This window comes from Homo sapiens, chromosome 17, assembly GCF_000001405.40.
Source record: "Homo sapiens chromosome 17, GRCh38.p14 Primary Assembly".
Taxonomy (NCBI): Eukaryota; Metazoa; Chordata; class Mammalia; order Primates; family Hominidae; genus Homo; species Homo sapiens.
This window is the reverse complement of record NC_000017.11, coordinates 63,944,190-63,958,131: the sequence shown is the minus strand read 5'-3', so window position 1 is coordinate 63,958,131 and position 13,942 is coordinate 63,944,190. Positions and strand designations below refer to the sequence as shown.

Below are 13,942 nucleotides of genomic sequence, written 5' to 3'. Positions count from 1 at the left end.
TCCCAAAGTGCTGGGATTACAGGTGTGAGCCAACTGCTCCCAGCCATAGTCTGTATCTTTAACAGATAATGACGAATGACATTTTTTCTCTTTTCTTTTCTTTTTCTTTTTCTTTTTTTTTTTTTTTTTAGTGGAGTTTTGTTCTGTAGCCCAGGCTGGAGTGCAGTGGTGCAATCTCTGCTCACTACAAGCTCCACCTCCCTGGTTGAAGCGATTCTCCTTCCTAAGCCTCCTGAGTAACTGAGATTACAGGCACTCGCCACCATGCCCGACTAATTTTTTGTATTTTTAGTAGAGACAGGATTTTACCATGTCAGCCAAGCTGGTTTCCAGCTCCTGAGCTTAAGTGATCCACCCGCCTCGGCTTCCCAAAGTGCTGGGATTACAGGCGTGAGCCACCGCGCCTGGCCTGGACTTGTTTTCTTTTTAACACATGAAGGGCCTGAGGTGGTAGAATGAGTGTTCCCATTTAGCAGAAGGGCACACTGAGGACTCAGATGGTGTGGGGGGCTGGAGATTCAAGCTACTCGACACTGTTCTTTCTCCTAAGGCTGGGGCTGCCTTGGGTGGTGGTCCCTGGGCCTCATTCACCCTTGCCCTCCCTGCTTGGCAGCTGCGGGTCTTCAAGCTGGCCAAGTCGTGGCCAACGCTGAACATGCTCATCAAGATCATTGGCAATTCAGTGGGGGCGCTGGGTAACCTGACGCTGGTGCTGGCTATCATCGTGTTCATCTTCGCCGTGGTGGGCATGCAGCTGTTTGGCAAGAGCTACAAGGAGTGCGTGTGCAAGATTGCCTTGGACTGCAACCTGCCGCGCTGGCACATGCATGATTTCTTCCACTCCTTCCTCATCGTCTTCCGCATCCTGTGCGGGGAGTGGATCGAGACCATGTGGGACTGCATGGAGGTGGCCGGCCAAGCCATGTGCCTCACCGTCTTCCTCATGGTCATGGTCATCGGCAATCTTGTGGTGAGTGAGGCTGGCTGGGTGGCCCCTGCCCTCACCCGGGAAGCGTACAAGATGTACCTGATATTTGACTGTTTTCTATCTCCCCAACACATCCTCTCCAAAATGGCAATTTTATGTGGTTTAACCCCGTAGTTCTCAAATTTTAACCTGTGTAAGAATCACTTAGGAGTTACTTAAAACATAGATCCCCGGCCCCACCCCCAGAGTGTCTGATTCAGCAGCTCTGGGCCTAGGCCTGGGGACCTGCATTTCTGACAAGCTCCGAGGTGATGCTGATCAGTGGATGCTGATGGTGGTTCTGGGACCATGCTATGAGTAGCGCTGTTGGAACCTAGTGTTTTGAGTAAAGCAACATGATAATGAGTCAGACAGACCCACATTCCAGTCCCAGCTCCTTTGCCATCATCTGTGTGACCTTGAGCTAACTGCTGCTCTCTAGTCAAGCTGGGTTCTCTAACCCTCACATAGAAGAAAAACAACAGGGAGTTCATGAGGTCACTGCAAAGATGATGCCATAGTGTGTACAAAGGCACAGTTTTGTGGGGGAACCTGGGCCTCCTGGCCTTCTCCCACCCTCTTGACCTCCTCTGCTCCAGGGCCTATGGTCCAGGCGCCGAAAAAGAGAATCAGGCTGGATGTGGTGGCTCATGCCCATAGTCCCAGCACTTTAGGAGGCCAAGGCCAGGAGTTCAAGACCAGCCTGGGCAACATAGCAAGACACTCTTATCTCTACAAAAAATGGAAAAATGAAAAAAATTAGCTAGGCATGGTGGCACACACCAAACCCAGCTATTTGGGAGGCTGAGGCAGGAAGATGGTTTGAGCCGTGGACTTCAAAGCTGTAGTGAGCTGTGATCCTGCCACTGCACTCCAGCATGGGGGGGCAGAGCAAGACCCCATCTCTAGAAAACAAAAAAGAAACAGGTGCAGATATTGGGAAAATGCAGAGATGGCATAAACTGCATCTCTTCTGCCGCTTACTGTGGTTCAGGGCTTGGCATGAGGGGCTGGTGCAGAGGAAGGGGCCAGGAGGTGAGAGCCAGGGTATAGGGCCATGGTCCAGCTGGCCAGCATTTCTGCGGCTAGGGCCTCTGGAGGTGACCCTGACTTCTCCCCTTCTTGGGGTGGCAGTGGAGGTCACTCCTGCCAGAGCCCTGCAGTGCTGTGCCCAGCTGCCCCCTGCAGTGGCTGGTGCTGCCCTGGGCAACAGGGACTGGGAAGACGCCTGTCCCCATGTTCCCCAAAGGCCTATGGAATCCCTGAGCTGCAGCGACAGAGCTTCTCAGATATTGCTGATCTCTGGCTGGGGGCAGCACCAAGAGAGGGAAGGGGGTGTCACCTCAGCTGCAGAAGAAGACTATGCTGCAGCTACAGAGGAGAACCCAGGCCTCCTGTCCCTGAAAGGAGGGTCTTAGGGAGTGGGGAGAGAGAGGGAAGGTGCCCGGGCCCAACTTTGGGGCAGGATTGGGGATGGGGAGAGCAGACCCTGAGTAGGAGTTTGTTGATGTAAGTCTAAGGACTTGGGGGTGACTGAGTCTTCAGGGAGTTGCTGTTTCTATGTGTGGAAACTCAGAAACGTTTTAAATCCCCACTTTGCCACTCACTGACTGGGAAACCTCGAGCCCGTTATTTAACCCTTTGGGCCTCAGTTTTCCCATCTGGAAAACGGGGATGAAAATGGGGATGACTCTTTCACTGGGTGGTTGCAAGGATTATGTTACGCATGCGCTTACAAGTGCTTACCAAAGTGCCTGGCCACGTGGCTGGGAGTACAGGTGTTGCAGGCGTGCGGCAGGGCAGTGCTGGTTTAGGTTCCCGCCACCAGGGCGATGCTCCTGTATTGGCAGTGGGGGGCCTACTGTATGTCAGTCCCTGCCAAAGGGAGTTACTGGCATTGCCCCTAATTCTCTCAGCCACCCCATGAGACAGGTAATGTTATTTCCACACTCTCGAGGAGGCACTGCCCAGAACCACACAACTAGTGAGAAACAGAGCTGGTGCTGGAACTGGGTCCATGTAACTCCAGTAACGATAACATCAATGACAACAGTATCGTAATAATGATAACGTCAGCATCAGCAGAAGCATGGTGACAGCTGACATTTATTTAGCATTTACCCAGCATTCTGGGTGCTTCACATGTATTCATTTCACCTCATCCTCACGCCCACCTGTGAGGGGCGCGCTGGTTCATGTTTTATAGATGAGGAAACAGGGGCTCAGGGAGGTGAGTCTGTCCCGTGTGTGGGACGGGAGCCCCTGCAATCTGGCTGCAGAGTCTGGAACCAGTACAGGCCCTGCTTCTGTGTGCCTGTCACCCCTATCACACAGACATGCACACACGAACACACCACTGACATCCTTTCCCAGCCCAGCTCTGTGGCTCTCCCAGTTTGCTCAGAGGGAGTGGAACGGCCCAGGGAGGTGGCACTGTCAGCTCCTTGGGCACTGTCCCCTCCCACCACCTCCCCAGGCTTCAGAGAAGCAGGTGTCTGCCAGAGGCCACCAGGGCACCCTGCCAGAGAGTGTGAGGACCCGCATCCCCTGCACCTATGGCACTTGGTCACTTCCTGCGGGTAACTGTGAAGAAGAAGAGGAAGTGACTAGGTAACCCAAAGCACAGAACCCCCAGGGAAATTGATGTCGGCCCCCTCCCCTCCTCCCTTCCCCCATGCCTGGGGCAGCTATTTCTGTCTTGGGCAGGAGCCGTGTGCAAACCCTGCTGACCCAGAGAGCAGCTAATTCCCATCTCAGATGTGTTTCTGGCAACTGGATGCCTCCCCCCAGAGAGGGAGAAGAAAGACTAATGCGTTTTGGTGGGGGGCAAAGGCAGAAAAGCCTCTAGGGGACATGGCGGGGAGGAAGGGAGCCATGGAAATTCCCCTAGCACATTCTCTCAAAGAGCGTTTTCAGATAGTTTTTAAAGAGAGTATTTAACATGATTAACAGAATATAATCAACAGAATGTAGTGAAGACAATGACGAGAAGACCTTGGAGGAGGCTGGTGAGAGCCAGGAGTGAGACCCGCCGAGGAGACGGCCAAGGGTGGCGGATCTGCAAGTGCAGGCTCCCCAATTCCCCATGCCCTCTCACTCCCCCAGGGCTCCGAGGAAGAACCTGGCTATGCTTCTGGCTGATGGGAGCTGGGACCCTCACCCCAGCCAGGATTCTCCTTCCTCCCACTGCCCAGGGCCAGGCAGACTGGTAGAAGGAAGGGTGACCACATTAAAGACCTTCAGGGCTGCCATTCACCTTGTAGGCTAAGTGAAAGATGCCTTCTAAAGTTATACAATGACTAGAATCCTGGTTCGAGTCCTGGCTATGCTCTGTGTCCTAGAGCAGGCCACGCCACCTCTCTAGGACTCAGTTTACTCATCTATAAAATGCTGAGCTGGCCTCAGAGTTCACCACACTCTTCCTACACCTTGTATAACTTTCTTTCTTTCTTTCTTTTTCTTTTTCTTTTTTTTTTTTTCTTCAAGGCAGGGTCTCGCACTGTCACCCAGGCTGGAGTGCAGTGGGTGCAATCTGGGCTCACTGCAACCTCCGCCTCCCGGGTTCAAGTGATTCTCCTGCCTCAGCCTCCCAAGTAGCTGGGATTATAGGTGCACCACCACGCCCAGCTAATTTTTGTATTTTTAGTACATGGTTTCACCATGTTGGCCAGGCTGGAGCACCTTGTATAGCTTTCTATTATTTCAAACATAATAACAGCCAACATGCGTTGAGTGCCTACTGTGTGCTCTACTTGTATTGATGGGTTTTTTGTTTGTTTTTTGTTTTTTTGTTTTGTTTTGTTTTGAGATGGAGTCTCGCTCTGTCGCCCCGGCTGGAGTGCAATGGCGTGATCTCGACTCACTGCAACCTCCACCTCCCGGGTTCAAGCGATTCTCCTGCCTCAGCCTCCCAAGTAGTTAGGACTACAGGCGCATGCCACCACGCCCAGCTAACTTTTTGTATTTTTAGTAGAGACGGGGTTTCACCATGTTAGCCAGGATTGTCTTGATCTCCTGACCTCGTGATCCGCCTGCCCCAGCCTCCCAAAGTGCTGGGATTATAGGTGTGAGCCACTGCGCCTGGGCTTTTATTGATCCTTTAATCCTCACAACAATGGGAGGAACACTTGGATAATCTCCTTTTTACAGATGAGGAAACTGAGGCACAGGGCAGTGAGGCAAATTGCCTCAGAGCACACAGCTAATAAACTGGGGTTCAGAGCCCTGCAATGTGGTTTCAAAAGCTGTGCACTCCAGTCTCTGCTGCCACCCAAACCCACAGTATTGCATGTGATTGATCTGCTCTCTGTCTCTGCTGGTCTGTGAGCTCCCTGAGGCCATTCATGCAGTGACGGGGGCTCAGGAAATGTCTATCCACTGGAAAATAAAGTGGGTGGGGGTGCTGGGGGGGAGCAGCAGTAGCCTCCTAAGTCTTTCCGTAGGGATGTGGGACAAGAACCAGAATAGATGGAGTCGGAAACCCCAAGAGGAGAAAAGAGGGTAAATAGTAGGTCAGATGTCCCTTCCAGAGTAGCAGGGGCCAAGCTTCTGCACTCCAGGAGTGCGGGGTCTATAAAGTCCCACTTAACAGAGGTGGAGAAGAAGGCACAAAAGATAAAGGTTCCCAGTAAGTCCTGGAAGCTCGGCGACTTGAGCCCAGTTCTTTGTTCCGCATCCTCCAGAAGTGGAGGTAAAGGACAGTCATGGGCCAGGCACCGTGGTGATGCCTCTAATCCCAGCACTTTGGGAGGCCGAGGCAGGCGGATCACTTGAGGTCAGGAGTTTGAGACCAGCCTGGGCAACATGTTGAAACCCCGTCTCTACAAAAAATACAAAGATTAGCTGGGCATGGTGGCACTTGAACTTGGGAGGTGGAGGTTGCCGTGAGCCGAAATCGCGCCACAGCACTCCAGCCCGGAGTCTGGAGGCAACAGAGGGAGACTCCTCCATCTCGAAAAAAAAAAAAGAAAAAAAAGGACAGTCATGGAGAGAGTTCCTGTCCCCCAGCAGGCCTCCCTAAACCCTGCCTCTGCCCTGGGTAGCAGAGTCCTCTCAGAAGCCCAAGCCTCAGTTTCCCCATCTGCAGAAGGGATAATAACCATCACCTCCATGAGCAGTTGTGAACACCTCTTAGGTGGCGTTCTTTTAAATGCCCAACATGTGGTAGTTTGGATCTGTAGACCGAGGACCCCTGTGCTGGCTGAAGGTGGCACCCTCTGGGTCCCGGGGACTGATGTGAGGCTCCCCCTGACCCCATGCCCCAGGTCCTGAACCTGTTCCTGGCTCTGCTGCTGAGCTCCTTCAGCGCCGACAGTCTGGCAGCCTCGGATGAGGATGGCGAGATGAACAACCTGCAGATTGCCATCGGGCGCATCAAGTTGGGCATCGGCTTTGCCAAGGCCTTCCTCCTGGGGCTGCTGCATGGCAAGATCCTGAGCCCCAAGGACATCATGCTCAGCCTCGGGGAGGCTGACGGGGCCGGGGAGGCTGGAGAGGCGGGGGAGACTGCCCCCGAGGATGAGAAGAAGGAGCCGCCCGAGGAGGACCTGAAGAAGGACAATCACATCCTGAACCACATGGGCCTGGCTGACGGCCCCCCATCCAGCCTCGAGCTGGACCACCTTAACTTCATCAACAACCCCTACCTGACCATACAGGTGCCCATCGCCTCCGAGGAGTCCGACCTGGAGATGCCCACCGAGGAGGAAACCGACACTTTCTCAGAGCCTGAGGATAGCAAGGTGAGCCGGGGCTGGGGCTCAGACAGACCCGGCTTCAAATTCTCCTGTGACCTGGAGCAAGCCCTAAGTCCTCTCTGAGCCTCAGTTTCTCCAGCTGTAAAATGGGGGTGGTGCCCTATGGCATTGTTGCAAGCATTATGTGAGACGCTGTATGTAAAGCATGCAGTCCGCGCCCTGTGAGTGGTGGCAGTCACTATCGTTATTGATGTGGTTATTATGATCAACCCTGTCTGTCCAGAAACCCTGATTCCCTCGGACCAGAACACCTGGGCCCCTCTCACCAGCAGGTGGTGCCCTTGGACATGCTGCTTTTACCTGGGCACCGCAGCTCCAGGACCAGGACCTGAGAGGCCTCTCTTACATATTCTCCTCTGGGTTTGAGGCCCCTTGCCCAGTCCTCACACTTATCCTCTATCTCTGTTTAGACCCCACCTGGGTCTGCTCCCAACCTCCCAGTGTGGGCCAAAGTGCCAGATCCAGGCAGGGGATTCAGGAGAGGAGCTAGGGGCCAACGGGAGTTGAGGACAAGGAGGACAGAAGCCTCAGGCAGGAGCCCTGACCCCTCAGCCATGCAGGGGGTGTGCTGCTGGGCTCAGATGCCCCTCCCCACCCCTCCACTGCGAGGTCGAGGAAGGGACAGGAACGCAGCGGTGGTAACCCCCAGCAGCTGAGGCTGAGGCTGAGGCTGACCCTGCCTGGGTCTTGAGCCCCCTTCCCCACTGTCCAGCTCTGGCAGGGAAAGGACTCATACAGGAGCTAGGACGAGGGCCCCTGCCCACCCCTGCACCATCAGCCTGAGCCTAATGAACTTTGCCCTGAAAGCTTTTGACTCCTTATTCCCCCCAAATATGCTGGCTTACCAGGAAGCGAGTGCCTGTGAGCTATAAATACCCAGGCAACTGTGGCACAGACCTCGGTATGAGGCACTCAGGTGGCGGGGGAGCTGGAGAGCACCAAAGTCCCAGGCTCCCCGGGGCCGGGGCCGGGGCCTGGGGACTTGTTCAAGGAGGGCGAGCACAACTCCAAGGGAGATTTAGGGAGTTGAGTGCACAATCGGGGCAAGCAACTCAGTGGATGCCCTGGCTGACCTAACACTCTGTGCCTCAGTTTCCCTTTTAGTCTAATGAAAACAAGGACCCCCACCCCGGCCATGGTGGTTTTCTGGTCACCACTCTGGATACAGAGCTGCCCCCCAAGTTGCCCTCTTCTTCCTTCTCTTCAGAGGCCTCACCCTCAGCCTTGAAGGGGTCCCCTGCCGGGTGGAGTCTGGGGCCGGGAAGCTGGCCTGGCCCAGCAGGAGGAGGTGGGAGGAAGCCTGGCCCGGCTGGAGCACCCGCCTCCCCCACTCCCGCTCCCAACACTGATCAGGTTCCCTTGGCACTGGATGGAGGCTTTGGCTGGGGAACATTTTCCACCCTTTCTGGATTCCTCAGCCAAACAGACCCTGCGGGTGGGAAGGCTCAGACGCTAGGGGCACCACACGCCCATGTTCTGAGGGCTGTGATAGCCTGGCTCCATCCTGACCCCTTTTCATACCCCTGCCCCCTCAGAGCTACCTTCAGGCCCCCCATGCCTCCCAGACCCCCCACTCGGGCCGGGGTCCCCGCCTCCTCCCTTATCTGAGGCCTTCGCATGTGTCCTCATGCCCTTACCGTCCCTTCCCAGGCATCAGCCCCGCCCCACTCCTTATATAAGTGTCATGCGGGCATGACCAGGGCCACCTACGTCCCCGTGGTTCCTCGACCATCCAGGGCTGGATGAATGAATGAATGGATGAGTTTGCTCCTCCCTCTCTTCTTCCCTTCCCTTCTGGTCTCCCATCCTGCCCCATCTGGTAGGAGGATGAGGGGGTCTCTCAGGGACCCAGATGTCATGTGACCCTGTGGCCTCCGCAGAAGCCGCCGCAGCCTCTCTATGATGGGAACTCGTCCGTCTGCAGCACAGCTGACTACAAGCCCCCCGAGGAGGACCCTGAGGAGCAGGCAGAGGAGAACCCCGAGGGGGAGCAGCCTGAGGAGTGCTTCACTGAGGGTGAGGGCACCCCTCACCTCATCTGGGTGTCTCCCCCAGGCCTGCAGCCCCTGCAAGGGGCAGGCTACACCAGGACCAAAAGCACACGGACCTGGGGCTGCCTGGCCATCCCCGTGCCTCACGTGTCTAGGGGTGGTGGCAGTGCATGCCCAGAACTGTGGTGCAAGATCCATGCAGAGCCCTTGGTGCAGACCTAGCTTGGAGCCAACGTGCAGGAGTGTGGGTGTCAGCTCCTGAGATCCTCCCCTCCATCTTCAGGGAGCAAGGCCTTCAGGACATGGCACTGGAGAAATGTCCTTGTCCATAGAGCTTGCTGGGCTGTGCAGGATGGAGACCGCCTGGGCGAGGTGGGGGGTGGGGCAGCACTGGGGCTGGGGGCCAGGAGGCCTTTCCTCTGCATGCCCATCCCCAGCAGCCATTGACGCATGTTGGATCCAGCTGTGAAGGGAGGTCCTGAGTCCCCCATGTGAGCCAGATGGAGCTGGGTGAGGGAGGAGGTGGGGGCCCTGGGTCTGGGAGCTGGAGAGGGGCATCCTGGGATGCCATGGGAGGGCGCTGACTGTGCACCCCAAGGCAACCCCAGGCCCATGATGTGGTGCCTGTCCCTGTCCCCCCTCACCCCATCAGCCTGCGTGCAGCGCTGGCCCTGCCTCTACGTGGACATCTCCCAGGGCCGTGGGAAGAAGTGGTGGACTCTGCGCAGGGCCTGCTTCAAGATTGTCGAGCACAACTGGTTCGAGACCTTCATTGTCTTCATGATCCTGCTCAGCAGTGGGGCTCTGGTAGGCACTGCCTGGGAGCACGGGTCAGGGGCAGGGGCCAGGCCCACAGCAGGTCCTCTTGGGGCTCCCTGTCTCCACACACAGGAAGGGCCATGCTCTGGTCAGTCCCAAACCCTGAGAATCCTAAAGGAACTCGCTGTGCCTCCGGGATAGGTTATAGGATGTGCTGACTTTCTAACATGGCAGAGGTGCCTCCCTTATTACGTGGGTGCTGACTTTTGTGCACTCTCTGCTGATAAGGAGGCAGGAGACCCCTGGGAACTGGGGGCGCAGGACTGAAGATGTGTCACTGTGGACCTGCCCAGCAGATGATGGCAATTTGCTGTTGTTGGGCTTGGAGAAGGGGGGCTGAGGGATTCTCCCCACTGGGAAACGCTCTCATCCCCATGATGGGTGGTGGGAGTCCAGGAGATGCGGACAGCCTGTCCCTTGGGCTGGGCCCCCACGGCAGACCCCCGGGAACCAGCAGCATAGAGCAGGGCAGGGGACCTGGCTGCCACCCCAGCCTGCTGGACCCCAGCCACCCTGGTGGTGCTGGTGCCCCCAGGCCTTCGAGGACATCTACATTGAGCAGCGGCGAGTCATTCGCACCATCCTAGAATATGCCGACAAGGTCTTCACCTACATCTTCATCATGGAGATGCTGCTCAAATGGGTGGCCTACGGCTTTAAGGTGTACTTCACCAACGCCTGGTGCTGGCTCGACTTCCTCATCGTGGATGTGAGTCCCCCCACGCTGGCCCCGTAGCTACATCCAGAGGCTGTCAGTGTGGCGGGGACCTCAGGAAGCCCACGCCCTGAAGGGCAGGACCTGCCCGAGGCCACCCCCAGAGTCAGACCCTCAATCAGTGCTGCCCTTCTCAGACAGAGCTGCCCAGGGAGGGGTTAGGGACTGGGAGGCCTTCCCTTCTCCTCAGGGAAAGGAGGCCTTGGGGGAAGACAGCAGGCAGGAGGGCTACTTACCATCCCTGCCAATAGGAGTGGAGGAGTTTCTTACTTCATACATTTTATTTATTTATTTTTAAGATGGGATCTTGCTATGTTGCCCAGGCTGGTCTTGAACTCCTGGGCTCAAGCAATCCTCCTACCTTGGCCTCCCAAAGTGCTGGGATTACAGGTGTGAGCCACCATGCCCGGCCAGGAATGGAGGATTTTCTTAGCCTCTTAGATGGGCTCACAGGCCTCCCCGAAGGAGTCGGGTACCATCCCTCCTACTCACAGTCATCCCCAGTTGGTTGATGACATCACTGAGGTGGTGCCAGGCTCCTACAGGTACTGGGACAGGTCCCAGGGCTGCTCTTCCCACCGGACAGGACCACCCACTAGGGAGGGGATCTAAGGGAGACAACCAGGAGCTGTGAGTCCAGGAAGACCCCCGTGGCCTGGGCTTGAGGGGAGGCTGGGGGCCTTGCACGCACTGATCCCCTCACCCCTCCCCTGCAGGTCTCCATCATCAGCTTGGTGGCCAACTGGCTGGGCTACTCGGAGCTGGGACCCATCAAATCCCTGCGGACACTGCGGGCCCTGCGTCCCCTGAGGGCACTGTCCCGATTCGAGGGCATGAGGGTGGGTGCTGAAGGGGCCTCTGGGGTGGGCTGGGGATGGGGGACCGGCCACCTTCACTGCAGGGTGGAGGGTGCATGTCTATACTCCAACCACCACCAGAGGGAAGCAGAGAGCTTGGACCCACGGCCCTGCCTGAGGCCAGGTCTGGCCCCCACCTCCCCTAGCTGTCCTCCCCGCAGGCCATCTTCTGCCTGCCCCATTCCCACTCTCAGCCCCCGATCCAGCCCGCCCTTAGCTTACCTCTGCCACTACTTGAGGGGAGCAGAGACTGCAGAAGCACCCAGGAGGGCCCCACGGCCAGGGAAGAGGAGGAAGGAAGGCAGGTTTATGTGGTGTTTATGGGTGGTTTATGAGTGGGTTTATGGGTGGCCCTCCCCAGCCTCAGACTGAGCCACCCAGGGCTTTGAAACAAGGTGCCTGCACCCTGGCTCTGAGCCTTCCCCTCACCCCCCACTGATGAGCTTGGCGTCACGGTTGGGGCCATGCCCTTGAGCTTGGGGTCAGTTTGGGGAAGATCCACTCAGGCCCTGGAGAGCGGAAGTGGCAGGTAAACACAGGGTTGCGGCGGGGTGGGGGGGGGGGCAAGAAAAATGGGACTTCCCCAGGAAGAGAGATCTGCTGGGAGCAAGACCTGCTCCAGCGGGACAAATTTCTGCAAATCTAGAGGCCATGGCGAGCCCCCCCAAGCGGCCCCTTCCTGTCCCTGCAAGAGGCCAGCCGAATGCTGGGCCCTCTGACCCCCCAGAGCCAGGGAGCCCTCCCGTTGAGGGGAAACAAGCTGCCTGTGGCCATGCAGCTGGTCAGTGCCCCAACCAGGAACAGAGCTCCCCTGGGCACACCAGGCTTGTGCCACCCACTCTAGAGGTCATGAAATGGCTCCTCCTTAAAAAGAGAGGGGTGTCAGATCCAGCCCAGTCTGCAGTGGTCAGGTGGGCTGTGTGACTAGGGCTGGTGGGGATGGGGCTTCTGTCCCAGAGCTCCTGCTGCTTCAAAGACCCTGGTGCCCTCTTTTCTGTGCCTGTGTCTGGGGCTCTGGGGCTGAAAACCCATGAGCAGGGGCTGGGTCACGTGAGCTGAGTTTCCTATGGGGGCTGAGCAAAGAGTGTTTGTCTCCTGCCTGGTGACCTGTGACCAGGCTGCTTCCAGAGAAACCCAGCACCCCTACTCTGGGCTGATGGCTCCAGTCAAGCAGAGAGCCCTCTTGACCACCAGGCCTGCAGCTCCCTCCCCCTCCCCCTTACCACCCCCAACCTGCACACACACAGCCCAGCAGGTCGGCCCTCCTCTAGGAAGCCCTCCCTAATTGACAATGCCCAGCTCTGCCTGGTCCCCTGGGTGGCGTAGAGATGTGGAGCCCTCTCTCAGAGGCTGGGAGAGGCACTGGCAATGGACCCCCTGGCCCCCAGGTGGTGGTGAACGCCCTCCTAGGCGCCATCCCCTCCATCATGAATGTGCTGCTTGTCTGCCTCATCTTCTGGCTGATCTTCAGCATCATGGGTGTCAACCTGTTTGCCGGCAAGTTCTACTACTGCATCAACACCACCACCTCTGAGAGGTTCGACATCTCCGAGGTCAACAACAAGTCTGAGTGCGAGAGCCTCATGCACACAGGCCAGGTCCGCTGGCTCAATGTCAAGGTCAACTACGACAACGTGGGTCTGGGCTACCTCTCCCTCCTGCAGGTGGTGAGTGTGACCCACCACCCCTGCCGGGAACCTGGATGGAGGTGCCCCCCACCCCGGTCCTCTCGTTGTACCCAACCCCAGTGTCACTCCTGGTTAGGGGACCGCCCACCCTGCTTCCAATGCTGTGGGATCCCCAGGCAGTGTCTAGACCTCTCTGGTCTTTATTTGATGCTAGCCCAGTGGGGCTCTGGCAGGCGGCCTCTGGCAGGGGAGGACCAGGTTGGGTGGGGGAGGGAAACTCATGGATGATGAAAGCAGGGAGCAGCCCCCCGGCTCACTCCCCAACCACACTCTCTCAGGCCACCTTCAAGGGTTGGATGGACATCATGTATGCAGCCGTGGACTCCCGGGAGGTGAGTCGGGGTCGCTGAGATGTGGCTGGTGAGCGAGCCAGGGAAGAGGACTCAAGACAGGAGGGAGACTTGGCAGCACGTTCTGTCCCCGAGACTTGGCAGCCCTGGGGGTGGATGGGTCCTGCCCTCAGGGCTGTGGGGGGCAGGGAGAAGCCAGCGTGCAAACCCACGCCGTCCCACCCTGTGGCTCCCACAGAAGGAGGAGCAGCCGCAGTACGAGGTGAACCTCTACATGTACCTCTACTTTGTCATCTTCATCATCTTTGGCTCCTTCTTCACCCTCAACCTCTTCATTGGCGTCATCATTGACAACTTCAACCAGCAGAAGAAGAAGATGAGTATCAGCCCAGCCCCTCGGGCCCTCCCGGTGCTGGGCCTCCCTCCTGCCTCCTTTGTCCACTCTCCATTGCACAAACCCACAAACGCTGCCTGAGCACCTACCAGGTTGTTGGTTCAGGCAGCTAGCTTGGGTCCCAGTCCCACCAGGCCACCTTGAACAAGTGGCTTGGCCTCCATGAACCTCGGTGTCCTTATCTGTAAAATGAGACTGCTGGGCCAGGCACGGTGGCTCATGCTTGTAATCCCAGCACTTTGGGAGGCCGAGGCGGGCGGATCACAAGGTCAGGAGTTCGAGACCACCCTGGCTAACGTGGTAAAACCCTGTCTATACTAAAAATACAAAAAAAATTAAAAAAAGAAATTAGCCAGGCGTGGTGGCAGGCATCTGTAATCCCAGCTACTCAGGAGGCTGAGGCAGGAGAATCGCTTAAACCCAGGAGATGGAGGTTGCAGTGGGCCAAGATCGCGCCACTGCACT

General features: G+C 57.1%; 1 protein-coding gene across 1 annotated transcript in view, besides 16 other annotated features; it reads left to right on the top strand.

Moving 5' to 3' along the window:
* SCN4A (sodium voltage-gated channel alpha subunit 4) overlaps positions 1–13,942 on the top strand; it is a 34,365-nt gene that overhangs the window by 14,787 nt on the left and 5,636 nt on the right. The window contains exons 13-21 of the mRNA NM_000334.4: positions 614–970; positions 6,232–6,708; positions 8,604–8,739; positions 9,367–9,521; positions 10,069–10,242; positions 10,965–11,087; positions 12,494–12,772; positions 13,072–13,125; positions 13,322–13,459. Coding sequence (NP_000325.4) covers positions 614–970; positions 6,232–6,708; positions 8,604–8,739; positions 9,367–9,521; positions 10,069–10,242; positions 10,965–11,087; positions 12,494–12,772; positions 13,072–13,125; positions 13,322–13,459 — 1,893 coding nt within the window. The remainder of the gene's footprint in view (positions 1–613; positions 971–6,231; positions 6,709–8,603; positions 8,740–9,366; positions 9,522–10,068; positions 10,243–10,964; positions 11,088–12,493; positions 12,773–13,071; positions 13,126–13,321; positions 13,460–13,942) is intronic.
* Positions 1–13,942: part of a locus control region, noted in NCBI's record as "fragment (approximate range) that functions as an LCR in transgenic assays", that runs on past both edges of the window. NCBI's record gives the evidence for it as "EXISTENCE:transgenic organism evidence [ECO:0001131][PMID:8524268]".
* Positions 6,280–12,279: an insulator, noted in NCBI's record as "6 kb HSIII-HSV region (approximate range) necessary for insulation of transgenes against chromosomal position effects". NCBI's record gives the evidence for it as "EXISTENCE:transgenic organism evidence [ECO:0001131][PMID:24561805]".
* Positions 6,576–6,620: a protein binding site, noted in NCBI's record as "45 bp HSV sF1 CTCF-binding fragment". NCBI's record gives the evidence for it as "EXISTENCE:protein binding evidence [ECO:0000024][PMID:21711161]".
* Positions 6,576–6,620: a protein binding site, noted in NCBI's record as "45 bp HSV sF1 YY1-binding fragment". NCBI's record gives the evidence for it as "EXISTENCE:protein binding evidence [ECO:0000024][PMID:21711161]".
* Positions 6,576–6,806: an enhancer blocking element, noted in NCBI's record as "231 bp HSV enhancer-blocking fragment". NCBI's record gives the evidence for it as "EXISTENCE:reporter gene assay evidence [ECO:0000049][PMID:21711161]".
* Positions 6,576–7,122: an enhancer blocking element, noted in NCBI's record as "547 bp HSV enhancer-blocking fragment". NCBI's record gives the evidence for it as "EXISTENCE:reporter gene assay evidence [ECO:0000049][PMID:21711161]".
* Positions 6,576–7,122: a DNaseI hypersensitive site, noted in NCBI's record as "HSV; the nucleotide coordinates are approximate for this feature". NCBI's record gives its function as "enhancer-blocking element; PMID:21711161" and the evidence as "EXISTENCE:in vivo cleavage assay evidence [ECO:0001075][PMID:8524268]".
* Positions 6,849–7,143: a silencer, noted in NCBI's record as "tiled region #9471; HepG2 Repressive non-DNase unmatched - State 20:ReprD". NCBI's record gives its function as "represses a minimal TATA promoter and a strong SV40 promoter by Sharpr-MPRA in HepG2 cells {active_cell/tissue: HepG2}" and the evidence as "EXISTENCE:reporter gene assay evidence [ECO:0000049][PMID:27701403]".
* Positions 7,111–7,170: an enhancer, noted in NCBI's record as "active region_12570". NCBI's record gives its function as "activates an Ori minimal core promoter by ATAC-STARR-seq in GM12878 lymphoblastoid cells {active_cell/tissue: GM12878}" and the evidence as "EXISTENCE:reporter gene assay evidence [ECO:0000049][PMID:35858748]".
* Positions 8,272–8,851: an enhancer, noted in NCBI's record as "H3K4me1 hESC enhancer chr17:62026641-62027220 (GRCh37/hg19 assembly coordinates)". NCBI's record gives its function as "activates a minimal SCP1, AML or CMV promoter by ChIP-STARR-seq in naive H9 embryonic stem cells {active_cell/tissue: H9 hESC(naive)}" and the evidence as "EXISTENCE:reporter gene assay evidence [ECO:0000049][PMID:30033119]".
* Positions 8,852–9,433: an enhancer, noted in NCBI's record as "H3K4me1 hESC enhancer chr17:62026059-62026640 (GRCh37/hg19 assembly coordinates)". NCBI's record gives its function as "activates a minimal SCP1, AML or CMV promoter by ChIP-STARR-seq in naive H9 embryonic stem cells {active_cell/tissue: H9 hESC(naive)}" and the evidence as "EXISTENCE:reporter gene assay evidence [ECO:0000049][PMID:30033119]".
* Positions 9,144–9,742: a DNaseI hypersensitive site, noted in NCBI's record as "HSIV, placenta-specific; the nucleotide coordinates are approximate for this feature". NCBI's record gives its function as "protects transgenes from chromosomal position effects in placental chromatin" and the evidence as "EXISTENCE:in vivo cleavage assay evidence [ECO:0001075][PMID:8524268, PMID:24561805]".
* Positions 9,976–13,123: a DNaseI hypersensitive site, noted in NCBI's record as "HSIII; the nucleotide coordinates are approximate for this feature". NCBI's record gives its function as "enhancer activity; PMID:14673137" and the evidence as "EXISTENCE:in vivo cleavage assay evidence [ECO:0001075][PMID:8524268]".
* Positions 11,071–11,644: an enhancer, noted in NCBI's record as "574 bp HSIII enhancer fragment". NCBI's record gives the evidence for it as "EXISTENCE:reporter gene assay evidence [ECO:0000049][PMID:14673137]".
* Positions 11,248–11,280: a protein binding site, noted in NCBI's record as "HSIII FP3 AP-2-binding site". NCBI's record gives the evidence for it as "EXISTENCE:protein binding evidence [ECO:0000024][PMID:14673137]".
* Positions 11,616–11,634: a protein binding site, noted in NCBI's record as "HSIII FP4 Elk-1-binding site". NCBI's record gives the evidence for it as "EXISTENCE:protein binding evidence [ECO:0000024][PMID:14673137]".